Source organism: Homo sapiens, chromosome 12 (genome assembly GCF_000001405.40).
Source record: "Homo sapiens chromosome 12, GRCh38.p14 Primary Assembly".
NCBI classification, from domain to species: Eukaryota; Metazoa; Chordata; class Mammalia; order Primates; family Hominidae; genus Homo; species Homo sapiens.
In genome coordinates, this window is record NC_000012.12 from 4,097,151 (window position 1) to 4,120,673 (window position 23,523).

The window sequence follows — 23,523 nt, forward strand, 5'->3', positions numbered from 1 at the left end:
ATATCTGGATTATATAAGGAACTCTCAAAACTCAGAAGGAAAAAAGTCAATCCAATTAGAAAATAAGCAAAAGACATGAAAAAATTCATTAAAGAGAATCTACAGATAGCAAATAAGTACATGAAAAAATATTCAATATCATTAGTCATTAGGGAAATGCAAAAAATCATAAGACAGAATTACATGCCTATCAGAATAGCTGAAATAAAAATATTGAATTAGCTCATTGAACTCACCTGCAGCTCTTGGGGTTCCTGTGTCTTTCTTCGTTGTTGGAGCCAGGCCTACGTGCCAGCCACCATGTCGAAGGGACCTGCAGTTGGTATTGATCCCTGCACCAGCTAGTCTTGTGTGGGTGTTTTCCAGCGTGGAAAAGTAGAGTTAATTGCCAGTGATCAGGGAAACTGAACCACTCTCAGCTATGTCGCCTCTACGGACACTGAACGAATGACTGGTGATGCCGCAAAGAATCAAGTTGCAATGAACCCCACCAACATGGTTTTTGATGCCAAACGTCTGATTGCACACAGATTTGATGATGCTGTTGTCCAGTCTGAGATGAAGCATTGGCCCTTCATGGTGGTGAATGATGCTGGCAGGCCCAAGGTCCAAGTGGAATACAAGGGAGAGAGCAAAAGCTTCTATCCAGAGAAGGTATCCTCTATGGTTCTGACAAATATGAAGGAAATTGCAGAAGCCTACCTTGGGAAGACTGTTACCCATGCTGTGGTCGCAGTGCCAGCTTACTTTAATGACTCTCAGCGTCAGGCTACCAAAGATGCTGGAACTATTGTTGGTCTCAATGTACTTAGAATTATTAATGAGCCAACTGCTGCTGCTTATGGCTTAGACAAAAGGTTGGAACAGAAAGAAATGTACTGATCTTTGACCTGGGAGGTGGCACTTTTGATGTGTCAATCCCTTGGTATTGAAACGGCTGGTGGAGTCATGACCGTCCTCATCAAGTATAATACTACCATTCTTACCAAGCAGACACAGATCCTCACTACCTATTCTGACAGCCAGCCTGGTGTGCTGGTTCAGGTTTATGAAGGTGAGCGTGCCGTTTTGAGGATGGAATCTCTGAGGTCAAATCTACAGCCAGAGACACCCACTCGGGTGGAGATTTTGACAACTGAATGGTCAACCATTTTATTGCTGAGTTCAAGCACAAGCATAAGGAGGACATCAGTGAGAATAAGAGAGCTGTAAGATGCCTCCGTACTGCTTGTGAACATGCTAAGCATACTCTCTCTTCCAGCACCCAGGCCATATTGAGATCGATTGTCTCTATGAAGGAATCAACTTCTGTACCTCCATTACCCATGCCCGATTTGAAGAACTGAATGCTGACCTGTTCCGTGGCACCCTGGACCCCGTAGAGAAAGCCCTTCGAGATGCCAAATTTGACAAGTCACAGATTCATGATATTGTCCTGGCTGGTGGTTCTACTCGTATCCCCAAGATTCAGAAGCTTCTCCAAGACTTCTTCAATGGGAAAGAACTGAATAAGGGCATCAACGCTGATGAAGCTGTTGCATATGGTATAGCTGTCCAGGCAGCCATTCTGTCTGGAGACAAGTCTGAAAATGTTCAAGATTTGCTGCTCTTTGATGTTACTCCTCTTTCCCTTGGTATTGAAACTGCTGGTGGAGTCACATGACCGTCCTCATCAAGTATAATACTACCATTCTTACCAAGCAGACACAGATCCTCACTACCTATTCTGACAGCCAGCCTGGTGTGCTTATTCAGGCTTATGAAGGTAAGCATGCCATGACCAAGGATAACAACCTGCTTGGCAAGTTTGAACTCATGGGCATACCTCCTGCACCCCGAGGTGTTCCTCAGACTGAAGTCACTTTTGACAGTGATGCCAATGGCATCCTCAATGTCTCTGCTGTGGACAAGAGTACAGGAAAAGAGAACAAGATTACTATCACTAATGACAAGGGCTGTTTGAGCAAGGAAGACATTGAACGTATGGTCCAGGAAGCTGAGAAGTACAAAGCTGAAGATGAAAAGCAGAGGGACAAAGTGTCATCCAAGAATTCACTTGAGTCCTATGCATTCAACATGAAAGCAACTGTCGAAGATGAGAAACTTCAAGGCAAGATTAACGATGAGGACAAAGAGAAGATTCTGGACAAGTGTAATGAAATTATCATCTGGCTCAATGAGAATGAGACTGCCAAGAAGGAAGAATTTGAACATCAGCAGAAAGAGCTGGAGAAAGTCTGCAACCCCATCATCACCAAGCTGTACCAGAGTGCAGGAGGCATGCCGGGACGAATGCCTGGGGGATTCCCTGGTGGTGGAGCTCCTCCCTCTGGTGGTGCTTCCTCAGGGCCCACCATTGAAGAGGTTGATTAAGCCGACCCAAGTATAGATGTAGCATTGTTCCACACATATAAAACATTGAAGGATCTAAATTTGTAGCAAATTCTGTGGCAGTTTAAAAAAGTTCAGCTGCTATAGTAAGTTATGGGGCATTCTCAATACTTGAATATGGAATATAAGCACAGGGGAAGGAAATAACATTGCGCTTCATAAACACTGTATTGTAAGTGGAAAATTCAATGTCTTAAATACAACTATTTAAAATTGGCACCATAAAAATATTCGAATTAATAGTGCAAGAATGTTTCTTCTCACCACTCCAATTTGTCATTATACTGTAAATCCTAGCTAGTACATTAAGAAAAGAAAAGGAAATAAAGGGTATAGAAATTGAGAAGAAAGAAAGAAAACTTTATTTGCAGATTACATGATTGTCTATGTAGAAAATTAAAAAAATTCACATACACAAAAACTTGATCTAATAAATGATTATACGAGGTTGCAGGATACAAGGTTAATATACAAGTCAGTTGCTTTCCTATATACCAGCAGTGAACAATTGGAATTTATAATTAAAAACGTATCACCATTTACATTAGCACCCCCAAAAATGAAATACTTAGGTATAAATCTAACAAAATGTGCGCAAGGAAACTACATGAGAAAAACTATAAAACTCTGATGAAAGAAATCAACAATCTAAGTAAGTGAAGAGAAAGTCTACCTTCACGAACAGGTAGACTCAATATGGTTAAGATGTCAGTTCTTTCCAAATAATCCGTCAGTTCAATGCAATCACAGTCAAAATCCCAGCAAGTTATTTTGTGGATATTAACAAACTGATTCTAAAGTATATATGGGAAGGCGAAAGACCCGGGATACCCAACAAATATTGAAGTAGATAAGCACAAAGTTGGAAAACTGACACTACCCAATGTCAAGACATGCTATAAAGCTACAGCAATCAAGACTGTGGTGCTAGCAAAAGAATAGACAAATAGATCCATGGAACAGAAGAGAGAGCCCAGAAATAGACCCATATAAATATAGTCAAATGATCTTTGACAAAGGACCAAAAGCAATCCAATGGAGAAAGGACAGTATTTCCAACAAACATTGCTGAGAACAATCGTACATACAAAAAAAAAAAAAAAAAAAAAAGATACAGACCTTACCCTTTTCACACACAAAAAAATTAATAGTGGATCCTAAACCTAAATGTAAAATACTAAACTGTAAAACTTTTAGAAGATAATATAGGAGAAAATCTAGATGATCTTGGGTTTGGTGACGACTTTTTAGATACAACACTAAAAATACAATCTATGAAAGAAAAATGTAATAACTTATATTTTATTAAAATGAAAACTTCTGTGAAAGATATTGTTAAGGGAAGGAAAAGACAAGCCACAGACTGGGAGAAAATCTTTGCAAAACACATATCCGATAAAGAATTTGTACACAAAATATACAAAGAACTCTTAACACTCAACAATAAGAAAACAAACAGTCCAATTAAAAAGTGGGCAAGCGGCCAGGCGCAGTGGCTCATGCCTGTAATCCCAGCACTTCGGGAGGCTGAGGCGGGTGGACCACGAGGTCAGGAGATCGAGACCATCCTGGCTAACACGGTGAAACTCTGTCTCTACAAAAATTCAAAAAATTAGCCGGGCGTGGTGGCGGGCCCCTCTGGTCCCGGGTACTCGGGAGGCTGAGGCAGGAGAATGGCGTGAACCCGGGAGGCGGAGTGAGCCAATATCACGCCACTGCACTCCAGCCTGGGCGACAGAGCAAGATTCCATCCCAAAAATAAATAAATAAATAAATAAAAGTGGGCAAAAGATCTGAACAGGCATCTCACCAAAGGAGATATACACATGACAAATAAGCATATGAAAATACGCTTAATATCACACATCATTAGGGAATGCACATTAAAATAGTAAGATACCACGGCATATTCATCAGAATAATAGCAAAAATTCATAATACTGACACACCAAATGGTGAGGAGGAGGTAGAATAATAGCAACTCTCATTCATTGATGGTGGGAATGCAAAATGATATCGCCACTTGGAAGAATGTCTGTTTTTTTTAATAGTTTTTGGGGGGAGCGAGTGGTGTTTAGTTACATGGATAAGTACTTGAGTGGTGATTTCTGAGATCCTGGTGCATCCATCACCCGAGTGGTGTACGCTGTACCCAATGTGTAGGATTTTGTCTGTTTCTTAACGTTGTCTTACCACATGACCCAGCAGCTGCACTCCTTGGTATTTACCCAAGTAGTTGGAAACATATCCACACAAAAATCTGCACATGAATGTTTATAGAGGATTTATTCTTAATTGCCACAACTGGGAAGCAACCAAGATATCCTTCAGTAGATGAACAGATAAACAAACTGTGATACGTGGATTCAATGAAGTATTATTCAGGCTGAAAAGAAGTGAGCTATCAAGCCATGAAAAGACATAGAGGAACCTTAAAAGCTTATGGCTATGTGAAAAATATCAATCTAAAAAAATCACATGCCGTATGATTCTAACTATATGAGATTCTAGAAAAGGTGAAATTATAGACACAGTAAAGATAGTAGTTGCCAAAGGTTGAGGGGGATGGAAGGATGAATAGGCAGAGCACAGAGGATTTTTAAGGCAGTGAAGGTATTTTGTAGAGTGTATTTGGGTACTGTGTACATATCTTGGGATTGTATGGGGGATGCATGACACATTATGCATTTGATAAAATCCAGAGAACTATATAACAGGAAGAGAACCCTAGTGTAAACTGTGGACTTCAGTTAATAATATATCAATATCTAGATTATAATTAAGTTAATAATGTATCAAATTAGTTAATGAAAACTGTAACTAATAATTTAGCGAATAATATATCAATATTGATTTGTTTATTGTAACAAATGTACTACATTAATGGGAGATGTTGCTAATGGAAACTGCTGAGGTGGCAGGGGAAGAGAGGGAGAGGAAGCCTGTGGAGACTCTGCACTCTGTTCAATTTGTCTGAAAAAATATAACTGCTCTAAAATACATCTATTAACTCTTAAAAATAGTTAAATCTTCCATAAAGGAGAATTTTTTTTTTGAGATGGAGTCTCACTCTGTCGCCCAGGCTGGAGTGCAGTGGCGCAATCTCGGCTCACTGCAAGCTCCGTGTCCTGGGTTCAAGCGATTCTCCTGCCTCAGCCTCCCGAGAAGCTGGGATTACAGGCACCTGTCACCATGCCTGGCTAATTTTTTGTATTTTTAGTAGAGACAGGGTTTCACTGTCTTGGCTAGGCTGGTCTTGAACTCCTAACCTCGTGATCCACCCTCCTCGGCCTCCCAAAGTGTTGGGATTACAGGCGTGAGCCCGGCCCAGAAAGGAGAATTCTAATAATTCTAAACAGTTTATGCAGATATTTCTCCCTCAAGGAGATGGGGCTTAACTCTTAACCATTTGAGTACTGGTTGGCACTCAGTAACTTGCCTTTGGACCGTAAAGTGTGGAAAAGGAGGAAAAGATTAACTTTATAGGAGAGAGACCTGGCAAAAGCCCTTACCCAGGTGATAAGGTCGACGTCATCTGTCATGTCAATTTCATGTATGTCCCTTTAATACCATGTGATGGGAATGGCCCTGCCCCTTTGTGGTAATCCTCCCAAAATCCATTACCCCAGTCTTGCCATGAGAAAAACATCAAACAAACCCAAATTGAGGGATATTCTACACAGTACCCGGCCAGCATTCCTCAAAACTGTCAAGGTCATCCAAAACAAGGAAAGTCTGAGAAACTCTCACAGACAAGAAAGGCTGGCAAAGAAAAGTAATGTGGTATCCAGAGCCAGAAGGACAGTGGGGCAAACTAGTAACATGCAAATCAACTGCAGAGTTTAGTTAGTACCAGTGCGCTGGTGCCGGCTCCTTAGTTGTGACAAAGGTTCCATAAAATGAAGAGATGTTAACAGTAGGGGAAACTGGGTGAGGGGTATATGAGAAGTCTGTACGATCTTCACAACTTTTCTGTAAATCTAGAACTATCTTAAAATTAAAGTTTGATTTAAAATAATGTGGGAAAAAATAGTGACAGACCAAATGCTGGTGAGGATGTAGAGAGGCTAGATCACTAATACAATGTGGAGGGAATGTAAAATGGTACCACCACTCTGGAAGAGTTTGGCAATTTCTTTTTTTTTGGCAATTTCTTTAAAATTTTAAACACACAATGACCACACCACTCAACAATTGCATTTCTGGATATTTATCCCAGAGAAATGAAAACCTATGCTCACAAAAAACTTGCACATGAATGTTTACAGAAGCTTTATGTGCAATAATCCCATGCTGGAAACAACCTAGGTGTGTTTTAATGGATGAATGGTTAAACAAACTGTGATATATTCACAGCAGGGAGTACTACTCAGCACGAAAAAGGAAGGAGCTATTCATATACTCCACAACATGGATGGCTCTCCAGAGACTTATGCCGAGAAGAAAAAGCCAATGTCAGAAAGTTATATATGTATGAGTCCATTTATTTAACATTCTTGAAATGACAAAATCATAGAAATGGAGATGAAATGAATGGTTGCCAGAGATTAAGTTTGAGAGACTGAGAGGAAAGTAGTTGTGATTATAAGAAGCCAACTTCAGGAATTCTGGTGGTGATAGAAATGTTTTGTATCTTGACTGTATCAATATCAATATCCTGGTTTGCCCAACAGTGCAAGACCCTGTCTCAAAAAAAAAAAAAAAAATAGTAATGTATCTCTTTTATTTTATTTGAGACGGAGTTTCACTCTTTGTTGCCCAGGCTGGAGTGCAATGGTGCGATCTCTGCTCACCGCAACACCCCCCTCCCGGGTTCAAGCGATTCTCCTGCCTCAGCCTCTGGAGTAGCTGGGATTACAGGCGTGCACCACCAAGCCTGGCTAATTTTGTATTTTTAGTAGAGACAGGGTTTCTCCATGTTGGTCAGGCTGGTCTTGAACTCTCGATCTCAGGTGATCCGCCCGCCTCATATCTTTTAATGAAATGAATAAGGCTTACTTATTTATTTATTTATTTATTGAGACGGAGTCTCGTTCTGTCGCCCAGGCTGGAGGGGAGTGGCGTGATCTCGACTCACTGCAATCTCCACCTCCCAGGTTCACGCCATTCTCCTGCCTCAGCCTCCCGAGTGGCTGGGACTACAGGCGCCCGCCACCACACCCGGCTAATTTTTTGTATTTTTAGTAGAGACAGGTTTTCACCGTGTTAGCCAGGATGGCCTCGAGCTCCTGACCTTGTGATCCGCCTGCCTCGGCCTCCCAAAGTGCTGGCATTACAGGCACGGGCCACCGCGCCCAGCCGAATAAGGCTTTTATCTTTAATTAATTCATGCACTCATGCATGACATTACTTGTTATTAGAGTTAGACAAGGAATAGCATCCATTCTATTCATACTTTTCATTTTTATAGAAGTAATGCTGGGAAACCTTGTTCACGTAAATAAGTTTGGATGGAGTTTTATTATAGCAATATGATTTGGCTCTCTGAACTCTTTCCAAGTTCTAAGCCAAAAATAACATACTGCTCTATCATCAAGAATTATTTTTAATAATCTATCAGCTGACAACTCCATTAGGTCCTCTTCTGATATTGTTGAAAGCAAAGAATTGGAAAACATCTGACTTGCAAATATTTATTACCTAGTCTTTGTGGTCATTAAGTCCTCTTTTTCTGGGAAATCACCTAAAATACTTTATCAAGACTTATTAAATGATTGTTAATTATGCTTGTTATTCTTTCTCATAAAGACACCTTCTAATTTGATATACTTAAAAAGGGTTGGAGAAATTGAAATATCTTTCATTTCAATATAAGTTTACCAAAACTTTTTTGTACATTGATTTTATATTATCATATACTTTATTTTTATTGTGGAAATTTTAAGAGCTGAAAATTTAGCACATTCAGTTTATGGCACTTTAAGGTAATTGTTGAAGTGGGTCATAAAATTAATCACCCAGAGTAGACTTATTCTTTGTCCCCCACCAAAACACTTAGTTTTCATTTTTTTTTTCTTTTCTTTTTTTTTGAGACGGAGTCTCTCTCTGTTGCCAGGCTGGAGTGCAATGGCACTATCTCGGCTCACTGCAACCTCTGCCTCCCAGGTTCAAGTGAGTCTTCTGCCTCAACCTCCTGAGTAGCTGGGACTACAGGCATAAGCAATCACATCCAGCTAATTTTTGTATTTTTAGTAGAGACAGGGTTTCACCATGTTGGCCAGGATGGTCTTCATCTCTTGACCTCATGATCTGCCCGCCTCGGCCCCCCAAAATGCTGGGATTACAGGCATAAGTCACCGTGCTCGTCCAGTTTTCATTTTTCAAGCCAAATCAATGAGTTAATATATGTCCCCAAGACAAACATTCTGCATTCTAATTCTAAGATAGTAGACATACTAGATTAGATAGATAGATAGATGATAGATAGATAGACAGACAGACAGATAGATAGATAGATATTGATAGAGCATGAAGCTGTACCATGAATTTATCACCGGGATGAAATAATGTGCCACCACCCTCAATACTTCCTACCTTCACTAACCTTATTTTATTTTCATGAGATTTGCATGATGGCAATATGTTCTTTGATAATCCTTGGGGGAAGGATGAGGGGACTCATTAGACAAATATTGGTATCATATTTTTGCCTTACCACACAACCTATCTTGCCCTGTGTCTAATTCCATGCTTTGCCCGTCACAGACGTATGTATAAGACAGAGAGAGACACAAAACCTTAGAGATTTATGTTGCCTTCATTAATATTTTCAGTTGTCCTTTTTTGGATGCCATGGAAGTTTGTACACTTGGCCTAATGCACCATAGTAAGTAAGATTTGGGATGAGAGAGAGTTAACAGAATTTTTTCCTTTTGTAAAGTGGGAAAAGCGCTATTGAGAAAGGGCAGGCAGGACCAGAGAACCAGCCCGACCCCCCAGCTGCAGGTGCACTGTCTGCTAGATCAGTTCAGGGAAGGGCAGATACGGCATTCAGCATCTGGAAATGGAGTGCCTTGAAACAATTCATGCCCAAATACCCCCTGGGAAGTCTTCCTGTCTCTTCAGGGACACTCACACTCCAGGTTGTAAACGGTGGTTCTAATACCCCCTCCTTGCAAACCACACCTATAAATAGGTGTGTAGAGACATAGAACATGTTATGAGCTTCACCAAGACCTTCCGAGCCACCATTTCCCCACTGCTCGAACCCTGACCACGGAACATCTCACAATGTGCAGGCAGCACATACCGTGATCAGTGCCACAACTTAGACTTAGTGCAATGGTGAAATACTGAGAAAGAAAAACCAAAGTGCCTCCAGGAAGTAAACAGCCCATGACAAGAGGCCAGACAGACCACACATGAAACAGACGCACCACACATGAAATGTGCATAAGAATACAGTGGAGATATTTACGCTTCTTGTTAAAAAAGATGGGGCAGACAGCTAGAGGGGTGAAGGAACTGGAAATACGGGATCTCAGAGACTAGGGAGACTTCCTGGAGTTGCATTTGTTTTAGAGACTCCGAGAAGGGCACACATGAGATTTGATGGAGTAAGGAAGGCCAGTGTGCTGATACCGTTTTAAAACTTCCACAGCTGTCTTCTGGTAAATGAAAATGTCCTGAAGTCCTTTCCTCTCCAGAGCTAAGATGTGTTTTTGAGCCTGACTTCTATATTCAGTGATAGGAGAAAGAGAGGAAGAAAGGGAGAAAAAAGGGGACAAACTGGAATTTCTCAACTTCTGGACTAGTGGTAGTCAATTGAGTTAATTTATACTAAAGTGTTAATGACACACAACAGTTATACCCTCCAAAGATCCCCTGTAGCATAAAGGCTCTGTGAAATACTGTATATGTTGAGGAATCAAAGTAACAAAGCAATAATGTAAAAGGGAAATTAGGCAAAAGGAATGGGGGAGAGGACTGGTTCTCAGCATTCAAGCAACCCAATCGGGAAACCCCCTGCAATGACAAAACTTATCTAGCGCACCAATGGGGCCAGTAGATATCATCTGCCAGTAGATGGCGGTCTTCATACTAATTGACTCTTCACTGGAACAGCCCTTCTTTCTACCAGATATTTGTAGGGTTGGTTGGCTTATTGCAGAGGTGGAAAAGGAAGCTACCTCCGCAGTGTAAATTGGAGAGCCCTGCGTGAGAGCTCCCCCTGCTCAAAATTTACTCCCTCACAGACTCGGTCACTTATGTCTAAAAGTCCTATTTATTCAACCCTTTATGGAGGAGGGCAGATTGCTGACAAGAAGTGAAACTGGGGTTAGTCATTAACACTTTAGCAGGAACTAATTTGGTATATTAATTCAGGAAAGAAAGGAACTTTCCAGGCACTGGACACTTAATAGCCTTCTTTAAAAGAAAAAAAAAAAAAAAAAGAAGGTGCCCAGACACAGTGGCTCACACCTGTAATCCCAACACTTTGGGAGGCCAAGGCAGGAGGATCGCTTGAGCCCAGGAGCTCCAGACCAGCCCGGGTAACATAGCAAGACCCTGTCTCTACAAAAAGAAAATAAATTAGCTGGGTGTGGTGGCATGTGCCTGTGGTCCCAAGCTACTCGGGAGGCTGAGGCAGGAGGATCACTTGAACCCAGGAGATTGAGGCTGCAGTGAGCTATAATTGTGCCACTGCACTCCAGCCTGGACAACAGAGCAAGACCTGGTCTCAACAACAACAGAAAAAGTAAATAGAAGAAGTAGGCAGAAAAGAAATGGTAGGTTGCAATAGATGGGTTTTGGCTTGGGCCAGACCTGAACACTGTTTCCTTCAACTCCCATCCCACAATGGAGGACCGGGTCCCCTCAGGTTTGCCGAACAGACCATAAAGCTTGTTAACCTTGGCTGGGCGCCGAGGCAGGATAATCCTAATTTCTTGGCACTCCCTACACGGATGCCCATGGATCTCTTTGGCCCAGTACTTTCTTCATCCCTAGGATGGCCTGAGCAGTAAGGGGACATCGCAAAAGAGGAGTTATTCAGAAAGAGGCCAAGATGGTGAGAAGACCTGAAACTGGTGCAGTAGCTATCTGTCCCATGGTAAACTAGAGAAGAGAAGACACATATTCATCAAGGCACTGGCCTCTGACACCAATGGTTGTCATGTGGAACCTGCAAACCCAAAGAGAGAATCAGAAGTTAGAGAGAAATTGATCACTATGCAATGTAAGAACAACTTCACCTTCTGTCATCACCATCTGAAGACAGGCTGATGATGGTTACGGTAAAATAATAATCATCATGACAATAAATCACATTTATTTAACCATCCCTTGTGGCTAGGCGCTGTGTTCCACATGCCTGATTTCATTTGACAATTGCAACATTGCTGTGGAGTGGGTATTACTATGACCACCTTTTTACAGATGAGGAAACAGGCTGAGAAGAATTAAATAACATATTCAGTATGACCCTGAGCATTTAACCATGCCGCGAGGCTGCCTCCTTAGACAGAACGGGCTGCCCTGGGAGTCTACAAGTTCACAGTACAGAGGCATTGGAGCAGAGGCTAGGGACATCTGGCTGGGGTGCTGCAAAGGAGACTCATGGGATTCAATCATCTTAAAGGTCCTCCCAACTCCTAGGGCATACAGATCCACACACTCATTCAGCAAATATGCACAGAGTGCCAGGCTGTGTCCTAGGAACTAAGAAGATGATGTTATCGAAAGAAGGAGGAGGAAGAGAAGGGCACAGAGGAGGAGAGAGGAAAGAAAGGGGGAAGAGAGAAAGGAGGAAGAGGAGGAGAATGGGAACAGCAACTAAAAATTTTTAAAAACAATTTTTTTAAAAAATTCACATCACTATTAATATAATAGGGGCTACTTTACAGAAGTGAAAAAAATGCTATGAAAAAAATATAGTGGGGCATATAACCTAATCTGAAGAACCCAGGAAACTTTCTTCAAACTAGAAGGGAAGTGACATTTTTCTTTTTTTTTCAGCATCCAATTTTTTTTTTTTTAATTTTTAGTAGAGACATAGAGACGAGGTCTTGCTATGTTGCCCAGGCTGATCTCAAACTTCTGACCTCAAGTGATACTCTCACCCCAGCATACCAAAGTGCTGAGATTACTGGAATGAACCATTGCCTCTGGTCCTAAAATATTTAAATAAGAGAGGATGACCCAGGGTTAGTTTTTTTTTAGCTGGGGCTGGCCCTTGGGGTGGACATAGGGTTTGGTGTGGCTGTGTGGGGTTCCCCAGGCCTGGCCGAAATGCCTGTACACCTTGGCCCTTGTAAGTATGGGAGAGCAGGCTGAAGCCACAGGCCTTGGGAAGGCCAGGGCCAGCTGGGCAAAGGTGAGGGTTTTGCCCAGGCTTGAGGATGCGGCTGTAGATCTGCTGCTCACATGCAATGCACACACCTTGAGTTTGGGCACCTCCAGCACGGGCACAACATCCATTATGATCCCCACAACCACAGCTGTTTTGTTCTTCCAGCCAGAAAGCTTCATCTTCCCCATCATATGGGAGAGAGACAGAGGTGGCCAGTTTCTGTGACTCATTAACAATGTCTTCAGCACAACCTGGTTGAAGGTGGAGTTGGTTCATCTGGCCGGAAACCTGAACAGCTTGACCAACAGCCTTTGGTGGATGTCCTGGCTCTTGGGCTCCTGATGCCGAACCTTTTGGTCCTTGTCATGGCAAACATCAACTCCCTCGATGGCACCTTCTGCCCTGCCAGGTCCAGAAGGGAAATGACATTTAAGCTGAGACCTGAAAGCTGAAGAAGAGATACCTAAGCAAATAAGTCTAGGAAACAGCCTTTATAAAAGCCCCATGGATGCTGGGAGCATGGCTCATGCCTATAATCCTAGCACTTTGGGAGGCCAAGGTGGGAGGGGAGCATTGCTTGAGGCCAGGAGTTTGAAACCAGCCTGAGCAAAATAGTGGGGCCCCCGTCTCTACAAAAATTTTTTCTAAAAAAAATTAGCCAGGCATGGTGGCATACGCCTGTAGCCCCAGCTTCTTGGGATGCTGAGATGGGAGCATCGCTTGAGCCCAGGAGTTCAAGGCTGCAGTGAGCTGTGATCGTGTCACTGCACTCCAGCCTGGGCAGCAGAGTGAAATCTTGACTCAAAAAAAAAAAAAAGCCTATGGCGGGAGACTTTGGCTCTTTGAGGATCAGAAGGAAGTGTGGGAGGAGTCAGGCAAGAGGAGCTGACCTGGGCTGCTGCTAGAGAATTAAGCAGGGGTTAGAAGCCATGTTGAGACTATCCTTAGAGTGAGGGTGGGACTTTGAAGTATTTTAAGCAGGGTAGAGACACGAGATCTATGTCTTCAACGACTGCTGTGATTGCTGTATGGTGCCTGCAAGGGAAGAGGGTGGAACCCAGGGGAGTCATGGCAAGGAGATCCCTGTGGAGGTTGGTACAGAATAGGAAATTGCCGTCTTTTGAATGGTTCGTGTGGCACTGCCCATCCACACTGGCCCTGCACATCTTCTTGAAGGGAAGAAAACCCAGGTGGAGAAAGTAGAAGCTAGACTTGGGAGCTGGGGTAGATCTCCACCAGCCTGACCCACCCAGCAACTGTCCTTTCTGGTCTTCACTCTTGCTGTGGTTTTCAAATCTGCATTCAGCAACTGAGGCAAAGCGCGTGTGCTTGGGGATCTTACACACCCTTCCATAATCAGTGACAGCTGCAACCCCGAGTGTTCGCCTCCCACCCTGCCCGTGCTTATGGTTCCTTCCCTGCCACCCAAGAAGAAGATGTAGGAAGCTGGAAGTGAAGAAAAAGAAGGCTAGGCAGTGGCTAGGGAGTCAAAGAGAAGGAAGGTTCAGACATTTTTTGAATAAAAATTCTAAGCCAGATATTTATTCTAATGCACAAAAGAGTTAAGGATGAATGCAGTTCTTGTAGATCTGGCAAATGATGCTACCAACCCTGAGTTAGGAGAGCTCTGTCCATTCCTGGTTTCTGCCCCAACTTCCTTTTTCTCTCAGTTTCCTCACTCTCGAACAGAGTTAATAGCCGGCATCACTTTTATTTTGCAAACTCAAGCTGGAAGGAAGAGTGTTTGGATAGTTAAAATCTTGATAGAGAAGTGAGGCCGTGGTGTTGCCAGGACTGTCATCAGATGGCAGAGGTGGGAAAGAGCCAACTTTTGCTTCCAACCGTCCGTCATATCATTCCATGCTTTTCATTGGAATTAAATCCTCTGTGTTCTAGAACTTCTTTAGAGTCTCATTCTGCAGGGCTCCTCCTCAAAGTGTTTTTTCCACCAGCAATCCCTACCTGTCCCTGTTCCATAAGCCCCCAATTCTTAAGATCTTTGTGAGGGAGACACTGCAGACACATCTTCAATCAAGTCAGAGAGCACCCTTACCCACCCTCTGCTAAATTCAGTCAAGAAATCCCTCAAATATACAAGTTCAGCATCCCTAATCCAAAAATCCAAAATCTGAAATGCTTCAGATCCAAATTTTTGAGTGTGGACATGATGCCACAAGTGAGAATTTTTATACATTAAGTACTTAACACAAACCCTGTTTCATGCACAAAATTACTTAAAATATTTTCTAAAATTACCTTCAGGCTATGTATATAAGGCGTATACGAAAAATAAATTAGTTTTGTGTTTAGACTTGGATCCCATCCCCAAGATATTCATTATGTGCAAAATATTCCAAAGTCTGAAAATATAAAAAATCCAGAGCACTGCTGTTCCCAAGCATTTTGGACGAGTGATACTCAACCTATAGTAGTTGGCTGGTATATTTGGGTTTCTGGAGCACTCAAACTGAGATACAGTTCCTGACCTCAAGGAGCTTACCCTCGTGCCATCCAAGAAAGCAGGCAAACCAGGGCTCCAGAAACATTTACACAGGAGACGCGTTTAACAACCTGCAACAGGAAAACCAGTGACATAACCATGCGGTCAATGGAAGTTTTCTTTGTGCTTAGTATTCTCTAGAAATGACTGAAGCCTGGCTCCCTCTGTCAAAGCAGCACATTCTCCCACTGTGCTTCACCCCTGCTACATTCATTTCCCTCAAACACCATCACGAAACTCTTTTACTCATTTGTTCATATGGTTACTGTCTGGTTCTCCACTAGAAGTAAAGCTTTTTAAGTTGAGAAACTACGTGTGTCTTGTTTAACGCTGTATCCCTAATACCTAAAACTGTGTCTGGCACTACTAGGTGCTCAGTAAATATTTGATCAACTGAATGCCTGTTGTCTTTTTTTTTTTAATTGTAATTGTCAATTGTCAGTCTCTACCCACCAGACTATAAAATTCAAGGGCAGGGATTTTGTCTGTGTTGTTCATTATGGTGTCTTCAATATCTGGAACGCACAGCACTGAAAAGTGTTTGCTGAGTGAGTGAATGAATGAATGAATGAATGAATGAATGACAGAGATTAATATAGGCTGAGGCATCCAGGAACTGACATTTACTGAGTACCTGTTCTATGTGAGACACTCTTTTAGGCACTTTATTACTGTGTTTTATGTTGCAGAGAACATGTTTGGACTAGTTTATAAGTCAACTTGAAATAATTTCCTGCATTAAGAAAAATTGGTTTTGACACATTCTTGTCATAGAAGTCAGCCTTTGTTCCCATGATGCTCTGAACAGCTGCAGTCCTGAGGAAGCCAGGGGAAGCTCCCCCTGCCTGCTGCTTAAACAGCTGGCCGGTGAACAGAGACCACCCCAGACCATTCAGCTCTCAGCACAGCTGTGTGAGCAGATGGAAACTCTGCCACCCAGAGAATCCAGCAGCTGAGAATAGAGTGGGTGGACTTGGCCACTGGTATGACCTGTGCATGTCAACCCTAATGTGGAGAAAGGTTTTTCATCTCTACAGGTCAACCCATTAGTATGGTTTGACCTAGAAGTCTTCAAAAGTTGTAGCAAGAGCCTTTCTGTATTGTCCCTGCAGCCAGGCACCATGAACACCACTCCAGCTGCTGGGGTGCAAGAGGTCTATGGGCTTGACTTTGCTGTAACCCTCAGTTTCCACACTTTTTTCAGCCCCTTGCCAGGTTACAAAGCCGAATTCCTAGACTTGTCGAATGTTAGAACTAGAAGGCGCCACAGAGATCCTTAGACTCTAGATACTTAGACTGAGGCCTCACTTGAGGGATGAGGACCCTGAAGCTCAGAGGGGCATCCTCTTGGCCCAAGCTGCATGGCTGGTGGATGGCAGCCAAAGGGCCAACCTCTTAGCTCTATGGCCGGTGGTCTTGTGTGAGTTTTGTGGTTTGGAGTATTGTCATCATTAGCAGTTCTATTGTTTTTACCCTTTGTCAAACAGCAGTAATTAGTGTGTTATTAATAATAGTATTGATTATTAATAACATTGATCAAGCAAGTCTGTGTCAGACAAGGTGCTAGAGGTTGTGTTTAATCCAATCAAAACCCCTAAGAGTGGGAAGGAAGCTGGTCCTAACCTGGAGGGACACAAGGAAGTTTTCAGGGCATGGAAAATGTCTCTACCTTGGCCTGGGTGGTGAGTACACTGATAAATACATATGTAAAATCCATCCAGCTGTATACTTGGTACTTATGCTCTTCAAGTAGGTGATGTCTCCATTTTAAACAATGAATGCAACTTATATATGCATAAATCTGCCACAATAAATTTCTAAGAAATAAGGGAAAAACCAGCTACTCGGGAGACTGAGGCAGGAGAATGGCGTGAACCTGGGAGGCGGAGCTTGCAGTGAGCCGAGATCGCGCCACTGCACTCCAGCCTGGGTGACAGAGCGAGACTCCGTCTCATAAAAAAAAAAAAAAAAAAGAAATAAGGGAAAAAAAGCCCAGGCCGGGCGTGGTGGCTCACGTCTGTAATCCCAGCACTTTGGGAGGCCGAGGCGGGCGGATCATGAAGTCAAGAGATCAAGACCATCCTGGCCAACATGGTGAAACCCCGTCTCTACTAAAAATACAACAAATTAGCTGGGCGAGGTGGCACGCGCCTATAGTCCCAGCTACTTGGGAAGCGGAGGCAGGAGAATCGCTTGAACCCGGGAGGTGGAGGTTGCAGTGAGCCGAGATTGTGCCGCTGAACTCCAGCCTGATGACAGAGCGAGACTCCGTCTCAAAAAAAAAAAAAAAAAAAAAAAAAAGCCCTGAGAGGTATCTTTATTATCCCCACTTTATAGATGAGGAAACTAAAAAAGTAATATTAACATAATTAATCATCGTATTAGCTCCTATGTGCCAGGCATGAAGATAAGGGTTTAGGTACAATACCTCATTTAACCCAATTTAAAATCCCATGAGGTTATTTTGTTCATTGTTTCTTTTTGCCATTTTAGCCACTTTTTATTATGGTAAAACATACATGACAAAATTTACCGTTTTCACCATTTTAAAGGATTCAGTGGCATTAAGTACATTCACATCGTTGTGCAACCATCACCACCGTTCATCTCCAGATTTTTTTTCATCTTCCCAGACTGATGTGTGTTCTGATCTGGATTCTATCACCTTCTAAATGTGTGACCTCAGGCAAGTTGCTTAATGTTTCTGAGCTTCAAGTGCCTGCTCTTTAAATTGGAGGACCTGAGGTGAGCCGCTGCTATCGGGGGGATCCTGGCCACACGCAGGAAATGAATGGTGGGCAAGTGAGTGAAGCTTCATCTGTATTTATAGCCACTCCCCATTGCTCACATCACCACCTGAGCTCCACCCCCTGTCAGATTGGCGACTGCATAAGATTCTCATAGGAGCACAAACCCTACTGTGAACTGCGCTTGCGAGGGATCTAGGCTGCGTGCTCCTTGTGAAACCCTAATGCCTGATGATCTCTCACTGTCTCCCATCACCCTCACATGGGACTGTCTAGTTGCAGGAAAACAAGCTCAGGGCTTCCACTGATTCTACATTATGGTGAGTTGTATAATGATTTCATAATATATTATAATGTAGTAATAATAGAAATAAAGTGCACAATAAATGTCATGTGCTTCAGTCATCCTGAAACCACCCTTTCCTCCCCTGCCCCATTCATGGAAAAATTGTCGCCCACGAAACCCATCTCTGGTGCCAAAAAGGTTGCAGACCACTGCCTTACAGAATGTGGGCAGCCTAAAAGCTAAGCTGGTGAGACTGGGACCAACAGGTATCTCCAGATTTGGGTTGTCACTAACCCATCAGGGACTCTCTCAGACACCCTCAGCAGGAATGGAGAGTGAGGTGGCCCAGGCGCTTAGAGACACAGAGAGCGAGCCAGAGGAGCCGTTAGGGAACAGGGACGTGGCACAGGGAAGAAGAGTAAAGGAACCTCAGTCATGCGGTAGCGGCTTGAAGACAGGGCGATGAGTAGGTGCAGGCATTTGCAGAGAGGGGGCAGTAATAGAGGTCACGAGGCTGGAAAAGCCTCCAGTGGGCAGAAACCAGGAGGCAGACGGGAGAAAAATACCACAGCCACGGGAGAAGCAGGGTGAGAGCAAACTGAAAGGTCTGTCTGCAGCATGGACAGTTCCAGGGTTGATTTTTGTCCCTTCAGCTGCAGTGGCCTCCATATCATCCATGGGCAGCCGCCGCCCACCATCTCAGCATGTTTTGGCAGGTGCATTTTAAAACGAGTTCCTGGCATCTTATAGAGATAAATAGGGTAGAAAATAAAAGAAAATAAAAAATAAGACATAGCCTTTACCCTCAGGGAGCTTAATCTCCGGTTCTCATAAAAGCCGAGCTACTACAGTACACACAAAAATCGGAGTCCAGTGACTAAACTCGCGTGTTTTGTAATTGAGCAGAAATGGACTTAATTCCCAGCTCTGCCATTTGCTAACTACGTGATCTTAAAAGCATTTCCTGACCTAAGGCTCCACTTCCTCATGTGTAAAAAGGTCACAAGGACAGCACCTGCACAACCAGGGTGCTGGAAGGATTGAGGGAGGCAGAGCCTGCAGGGCTGGGCACGCACCTGGCATGTGAGGCTTCGGCAGACGGCAACCTTTATTACCCAAGCTCCTTAGACCAACAGGCATTTCCTCTGTCCACCTGCATTACTATTGTGTGAATTCGGATTCCTCAGGTGCTGCTGTCCTGCAGGAATTTGGCTCTTGAAGCAGGAGAGGGAGAGGAGACCAGGGAAATGGGGACAGCTACTCCCGGAAGTTATCACAGGGGAGAAGGGCTCAGAGCCCAACTTAATAAAAAGAGCATTGCATCAGTGCTTCCTGGGGCCCACTGGCATCCCCTGTAAGCTGCACATTCCCTCCCCAGCCAGGCCTCTGCTAGCAGCCTCTCTGTGCTAGAGGAAACCTAGGGACAGGGACCGCTCCAGCTGCAGGCAAGTTCCTAGAAAGTCCAGTGGAATGGATATCATTCCTGTACTGTGAGTAATCGGCCCAAACAAAGCCCACTGGTATTTCCGAGTCCATTCCCAGTGCCCAGAGCTGGACCCAGTAGCTCAGCAGCTGCAAGGAGTGGAATGCAGTTCTCTAGCATGCTGCCCTAGATTCAGCCTTGGAGAAAGACTCCTTGCCCCAAGCGGGGAAGGTGCTCTGAAGGTCATCTCGTCTATGCTCCTGCCTCTGGGCCCAAACATTGTAAGACACAGGGCTTGGAAACCCCCTGTAGCCCAAGTGTGGGGACCAGGGAGCCTGCATGAGGATTCTAAGGATACAAGGTGGAGTCAGGAAAAGGATGTCCCTTTCTCCGTTGCCTCCTTGAGCTTCCATTAGAAGGACTTGCAGGAGAGGGGAAAGAAATCAGGAAAAGAAAAGCTGAGCCTCCGTGGTGTCTCTACCCCGACTTCTCTCCTGCTCCTCCTTTGGTCTTGGGGCAGGCCAGCCCTGTCTGCCTCCCATCGCTTTCCTCGCTTCTGGGCCACTAGTCTGTCACAGTCACCATTTCTGGAAGTTCAGAGATAAAGCTATCCTTATCCTTTCGGAACAGTGGCACCTGCTTTGTCAGCTCTAGGTGGTAGGGGTTTCCCTAACTGGGTTGCCGATGAGCCCGGGTCATTCACACTGGGGAGTCAGGTCTTTGGCCTTAGCTCACTGGGTCACCCCAGTGGTTGTCCCAGGGAGGTCTTATTGCCACCTCTTGACAAATGAGGAAGCTGGGGCACAGCAACATGAAGTGACTTTTGCTCAAGACCCTTCACCGGTCCTTCCACTGCCTGGACACACCCTGCCAGGCATCTCGAGGCTGATTTTCAAGGGAACAGAAACTTCCACCGCTGCCTGTGCCTCGCCTAGCTCCCACCCAATACGAAAGAATGGCACACTTATAGGTCACACGCCCCAGTTCATTGCTCCCTAGCTCCCATGGGAAAAGGCATAAAGTGTCCTTTCCAAAATGGTGACTGTCATTTCCCCCAGCCTAATTTAAGGCAGGCGTGAACGTTCCCCAGAGAGTTCACCTGGGCTGTCCTCCTGTGCAGTTGCTGTGCAGAAATGTTTCCTCCGTGTGCATTGCCTGCTGTCATTTCTTGGCTTTTCCAGAGTGTAAGCTGTGGTCCTGGGTGAATAGGGCAGTAGGTAGGGTTGGGGGTTCAAGGGTCAGTGGCCCTCAAACCTGGTACCCTGTGAACACCCTGGTCATTTTGAATTTACCGGCTCAGGAAAGAAGATTCCTTGCAAGCACACAGTTGCCTGTGGTCAGAGGGATGATCTCAAAGTGCTCTTAGTTCCTGGGCCAGCAGCCAGCTGCCTTGGATGGTCAGAAGGTGAAATTTGAATGCTGGTGAATGGGAGAGCGGAAGTTCAGCAAGGCTGAGTTAAGCCCATTCATGAAAAAGATCTAGTCTCACTTCCTTATTGCCAGGAGTTGTGTGTGAAGAGTGTGTGTGTGTGTGTGTGTGAGCACGCGCATGCACATGCACGTGAGCTTGATTACTTTCTGCCTCGCTTCTTCCTCCACCCCTACTCTTTTCTTTTTTTTCTCTCTCTCTCAAAATCTTAAGTTCATCTTCAGGAAACTGCCCAAGAATGTGTAGCCGGTCTGTGGTTTGCTGAAAAAAAGAAAGAAAAAGAAAGAGACAGATTCATACAAAAGCAATTCTCTCTCTTTCACCCTCTCTCTCTCTGTTTCTCTCTCTCTCACACACACACAGTCTCTCACACACACTCACACTCACACACACACACTTTCCAGGTTGTGCTGCATGCACCTCCCCAGCTGTTCTCCCATTCAGTCCTGTCTGGCTTAGGGAGGTGAAGTCATCTCTGGGTGGGAGATCATCCCGGTCAAAGGCGGGGTGGGGGAGCCGTCATGGCTGACCCACAGGGAAAAAATTCACTGTTACCCAGTTAGCTCCCACCTCAGTGGACCACATGGTGCTTCTGGCAGGTTGTGCCTATGGCTAGTGGCGTGATTCCCAAGTTAGTAGAAGGCTGCTGTGTGGCAGGTACCCTCCCCTGTTATCTGTGAGATGGAGGTGATCATGATATGGGCTCCTCATGGGTTGTTGCAGTGATGAAGGTGAGGCACACAAGGTCCTTAGCACAGCATGTAGTCACAGGTGATCTCACTGAACATCTCCGGGGCAGGGGGCTCACCACCTCCAGGGCAGCCTGTTCCATTTTCAGCAACACAGCAAAGAAGCCACCAACCCTGCTGGGCTTGTCAAGTCTTGGGAGGAATCGAGGCACTTCTTTTGACTTTAGAAATAGAAACCGAGATGCTGACCAAGAAAAAGTATGCACCCAATGCAGTTTGACCTACCCAGATACACAGGGGCCTCACGGACATGTGCCTGAGAAAGAAGACGTAACTCAGGGAAGGATATGACACCAAAGCCCTCAAAATGATTAACTGGAGCAGGTGATTTTGAGCCCTCAGTACTTTCAGTTGTTACTCTCAGACTCTGACCAAGAAGTGCTTACTGGGCACCCACAATGATTTCAGAGTATTCTGGAAGGAGTGCACCTGTCCTTCCAGCTGAGCCTCCTCCGTGGGTGCGGCAGGTAGAAGGGCATATAGGTGCTTTCCCCGCCTGTAGCCAACATCCCCTGAGCTGTTGATGCCCTGTGAAATCTCTGTGAAATCTCTTTCTCGCTGATCCTACACATTTGGAAAGTGCTGTCATGACAATTATTACTCACAAAGTTCTCTTGCTGAGGGAGGATGGTCACTTGGCATGTATTATTCTCCCCATTTTACAGACATGGAAACTGAGACCCACAGAGATCCTGGTGGTGTAGTTTGAAGCTGCTGGAATTCTCCAAGCTGCTCTCCCTGCCTTTTAGGCTGTTTCTCCTAGTGGTGCCGGTGACACAAAGAGCTGTTCTTATCCTCTCCTGTCCTGAGTTATTATGCAGTGAGTTGAGTGGAAGTTTCTAACCACCCCTCAAGTTCCCTACCAAGGAACTTAGGGAGGTGAAGTCATTTCTGGGTGGGAGATCATCCCTGTCAAGGGTGGGTGGGAGATCATCCCGGTCAAGGGTGCGTGGGAGATCATCCCGGTCAAGGGTGGGTTGGGAGATCATCCCGGTCAAGGGTGGGTTGGGAGATCATCCCGGTCAAGGGTGGGTTGGGAGATCATCCCGGTCAAGGGTGGGTTGGGAGATCATCCCGGTCAAGGGTGGGTGGGAGATCATCCCAGTCAAGGGAGGGTTGGGAGATCATCCAGGTCAAGGGTGGGTGGGAGATCATCCAGGTCAAGGCTGACCCACGGGGAAAAAATTCACTGTTACCCAGTTAGGTCCCACCTCAGTGGACCACATGGTGCCTCTGGCAGGCCGTGCCTATGGCTAGTGACGTAATTTCCAAGCTACCAGGAGGCTGCTGTGCAGCAGGTACCTCCAGGTAATGGGCCATCCCACATCCATGCCCTTGGTTTGCCTTGACCCTGGCTTTGGCAATGTGATTAACATCCATTGGGTGCCTACTAGAACTTCAGGGAGTGGACACGGAGGCTGCAGACCCCAGGTGGAGAAGGATGGGCTCCCAAATAAGGATTCTCTCTCACTGCCTTCATTTCCTTCCCCCTCCCTTCCCCTGTGTCCTCAAACCATCCATCGATAGTGAAAGAGAGGAAACATCTGGTCTGGGTTCCGCACCTCCACCCTGTGTTGGGGGGCTTGTAGGAAGAGATGGTTGGAGGTCTTGGAACCTTGAAATAAACCAACGGTTCAGCTGCCATCCTCCCCACCCACCATCCTGTCTTCCTCACCCCACCTTAATATCAGCCATCCTCCTAGCAAC

General features: G+C 44.7%; 1 long non-coding RNA gene and 2 pseudogenes across 2 annotated transcripts, besides 5 other annotated features; 1 reads left to right on the top strand and 2 right to left on the bottom strand.

Annotated features, from left to right (window-relative positions):
- Positions 223-2,570, top strand: HSPA8P5 (heat shock protein family A (Hsp70) member 8 pseudogene 5; annotated as a pseudogene).
- A 4,287-nt stretch (positions 2,571-6,857) lies between these two features.
- On the bottom strand, positions 6,858-21,069 carry LOC124900317 (uncharacterized). Of its 2 annotated transcripts, XR_007063172.1 has the most exons (5): positions 20,738-21,069; positions 15,183-15,253; positions 14,293-14,410; positions 12,772-13,130; positions 6,858-11,515 (listed from the first exon to the last, which is right to left on the bottom strand). It is a non-coding gene; the product is annotated as an uncharacterized LOC124900317 (long non-coding RNA). The 2 variants fall into 2 exon arrangements; XR_007063173.1 differs by lacking the exon at positions 15,183-15,253.
- Positions 10,233-10,527: an enhancer, noted in NCBI's record as "tiled region #7545; HepG2 Activating non-DNase unmatched - State 13:Ctcf, and K562 Activating DNase unmatched - State 12:CtcfO". NCBI's record gives its function as "activates a minimal TATA promoter and a strong SV40 promoter by Sharpr-MPRA in HepG2 and K562 cells {active_cell/tissue: HepG2 | K562}" and the evidence as "EXISTENCE:reporter gene assay evidence [ECO:0000049][PMID:27701403]".
- Positions 10,615-10,674: an enhancer, noted in NCBI's record as "active region_5818". NCBI's record gives its function as "activates an Ori minimal core promoter by ATAC-STARR-seq in GM12878 lymphoblastoid cells {active_cell/tissue: GM12878}" and the evidence as "EXISTENCE:reporter gene assay evidence [ECO:0000049][PMID:35858748]".
- On the bottom strand, positions 12,346-22,805 carry RPL18P9 (ribosomal protein L18 pseudogene 9; annotated as a pseudogene).
- Positions 19,832-20,826: an enhancer, noted in NCBI's record as "H3K27ac-H3K4me1 hESC enhancer chr12:4226148-4227142 (GRCh37/hg19 assembly coordinates)". NCBI's record gives its function as "activates a minimal SCP1, AML or CMV promoter by ChIP-STARR-seq in primed H9 embryonic stem cells {active_cell/tissue: H9 hESC(primed)}" and the evidence as "EXISTENCE:reporter gene assay evidence [ECO:0000049][PMID:30033119]".
- Positions 20,698-20,747: a silencer, noted in NCBI's record as "silent region_4145". NCBI's record gives its function as "represses an Ori minimal core promoter by ATAC-STARR-seq in GM12878 lymphoblastoid cells {active_cell/tissue: GM12878}" and the evidence as "EXISTENCE:reporter gene assay evidence [ECO:0000049][PMID:35858748]".
- Positions 21,228-21,357: an enhancer, noted in NCBI's record as "active region_5819". NCBI's record gives its function as "activates an Ori minimal core promoter by ATAC-STARR-seq in GM12878 lymphoblastoid cells {active_cell/tissue: GM12878}" and the evidence as "EXISTENCE:reporter gene assay evidence [ECO:0000049][PMID:35858748]".